We start from the raw sequence: 2,964 nt of genomic DNA, 5'->3' as shown, positions 1-2,964 counted from the left end.
GCTGCCCCTCACTCCTCCAGCCAGCCCTCCTTTTTCTGAGCCCATTCTTTCCTTGCTGAGCTGTCTGCCCCTTGCTCCCTTTCCCATCCCTGTTCTCCATCTAACTGCCCCTCTATACATGTCTGGGCTGCTGCCTAAGAATTCTTAGCTGCCTGGTTAGTCACTGACCAATCACCACTACACTGCTTTAGATTTGGGATCCCACTAGTAAAACTAACTGGCATGTTTGTACTGGTCATCCCCCAAAAAAAGCATCCTGTGTAACAAAAAAGCACTGTTTAAGGGTTCAGGATCACAAACCTTCAAGATACCCAAGAAAAGTCCTCAAATGTGAGTTGCCTCGTCTAACAGTAGAGGTAAGTTCAAAGATGAAATGTGATTTGTTCAAGGCTGTGCAGCTAATCAGAGGCAGAAACTAGAACTGTTTCTCCTTCCACTACACCACAAAAAAAAAAAACCGAGATTAATAATGATTAAGAAGTTTGTAAGTCAATCAAAATAAAATGCCTAATACATAGGAAAAGTCTTTGGGATTTCTCCACAGACTTTTAGACAGAACAAAGGCAATCTTTACAATGAGAAATGCTCCTCAGTTCAACAGATGCCACCAAGTACCAAGGATCCTTACTCAGTTCTGAAACAGTGACTACGGAGAATATGTCACTATTTGAGAATAAGAGGTCCCACCTGATCCACTCTTTTCAAGTCTTCAGTCACAAGGTTGCAACTTACTCTCATCATTTAACAAGATAAATTAATCAAGCTGAAGTAGGATTAAGGAGGTACATTGAAGATAAAAGCAAAAGACAACAAACATTTTTACAAGCAGATCATCCCAGTTACCTTAAAAGTTTTGGATTAATTCACAGAGCAGTGACAGAACCATATAATTTCAGTGAAAATCAAGATAGTTATACCATTAAAAAAAAGATCAATTCAGAAATACCAAGTCAGGCAAGCATGCAAATTTCAGAATATAAAAAAATGCAGGGCCTGGTTGCCCACATACATTCCTCAGGTTAAGGTAGATTTAAAGATGCCCAACAGAACCCAATGAATCAGAAGCTAAAAGGGACACTTCAGTGATCAGCAGATGCATTCTCTCATGTAACAAATGGAGGGAAAGTGAGCACACATTAACTGGCGAAGCACACAAGGCTAGATTAGGGGTGTACAGAGATCTAACTCCTGGTGCTATTTACAACTACATATATTTAAAATACAAGGAGATAAATACCCAGAACACATTAAGCATACTGATTTAAACAGAACATTTCAAGACTGATACACAGAAAGGGAAGGAAGCTGTTAACCCAGCACAGCAGCACACCTCACATATTTATGTCTCAGAGATTAAATGGAAAGAAACGATCAATCAAAACGTTTAATGCTCAGTTTTCACAAACACAATCAAGTCTATCAAATTTCTGGATTTACAGCAAAATGTGCCCCCTAAAAACATGTACACTCTTCAGTTTCTCCTATACATTTTTTTTTGCCTATCTTTCAAAACCGAGCACTGGGTATTTTTAACATGAGCCATGTCATATGTACTGTTTAACTATGATTCAGGAATAAACAAAATCCATGATTTTTTAGTAACCCATAGTGTATTTATAGAATGAAAAGTTCTCTATCAAATTACACTTTTCACTGGGAAAAATAAATAAAATGGACAAATGGATCTACACAAAGTAAACATTAACTTTGGTAGATTTCAGTGTAGTTCATAACAAGCATATTTGCCCTTATTCCCCCAGAGCTGCTCAACTACCAAGAATTTTTAAAATATTTTTAACTGAGATTTTATTATGTTGACATTTGTTTCTCATTCCACATCATCTTCAGCCAAGCTGTGAGTACTTACAATTCTCTGACTAATTGTTGGGATCTTAGTCAGAAGCATCTGGAACACTGGTGGTGGAAGAGTTTGCTGTAAGACCTGCAGTAACTGCTGTGGCTGTCCACACACAGCAATTGCATTTGTCAGATGGTCTACACCCTTCTCATATTCACCTTGAGCTAGTAACTCTTCACCAAGCTGTATTTCTTCAAAGAAGAACTTCTGAACAGCTTCAGCATCTTTAAGGTCAGGTAACTTGGAAAGCCCAGCTCTCTCCTTGGCAAGCTTCTGTTTCTTTCTTCATTCTCGAAGCCTGTTCTTGAAGTTGGGGTCACTTCATCTTTTGTGGTCAAAGTAGATGCAGTACGCAATAAAAAGGGTCCCGCATGCACCGGCGGCGATGGCACTGTTCCGACCCACCATCTTCTCTACAGCGCTAAGCGTGGACAGTGGCAGCAGGAACCATGAAGGAGCGGTGGGCCACGAACCCTCAGAGCAGTTGGCGCAGCTCAGACCCGATGGCGTGGGCCAGGAACCTAGTTAGCTCTTCTTGTTGAATTGATCCCTTTACCATTGTGTAATGGCCTTCTTTGTCTCTTTTGATCTTTGTTGGTTTAAAGTCTGTTTTATCAGAGACTAGGATTGCCACCCCTGCTTTTTTTTGCTTTCCATTTGCTTGGTAGATCTTCCTCCATCCCTTTATTTTGAGCCTATGTGTGTCTCTGCACGTGAGATGGGTCTCCTGAATACAGCACACCAATGCATCTTGACTCTTTATCCAATTTGCCAGTCTGTGTCTTTCAATTGGAGTGTATAGCACATTTAAAGTTCATATGGAACCAAAACAAAGAGCCTGCAGAGCGAAGACAATTCTAAGCAAAAAGAACAAAGCTGGAGGCATCGTGCTACCTGACTTCAAACTATACTACAAGACTACAGTAACCAAAACTGCATGGTACTGGTACCAAAACAGATATATAGACCAATCGAACAGAACAGAAGCCTCAAAAATAACATCCCACATCTACAACTATCTGATCTTTGACAAAAATAACAAAAACAAGCAATGGGGAAAGAATTCCCTATTTAATAAATGGTGCTGGGAAAACCAGCTAGCCATA

At 40.0% G+C, this 2,964-nt stretch overlaps 1 pseudogene; it reads right to left on the bottom strand.

Moving 5' to 3' along the window:
* Positions 1-1,631: 1,631 nt before the first annotated feature.
* On the bottom strand, positions 1,632-2,379 carry TOMM20P4 (TOMM20 pseudogene 4; annotated as a pseudogene).

Source organism: Homo sapiens, chromosome X (genome assembly GCF_000001405.40).
Source record: "Homo sapiens chromosome X, GRCh38.p14 Primary Assembly".
NCBI classification, from domain to species: Eukaryota; Metazoa; Chordata; class Mammalia; order Primates; family Hominidae; genus Homo; species Homo sapiens.
This window is presented reverse-complemented; position numbering and strand designations above follow the sequence as displayed.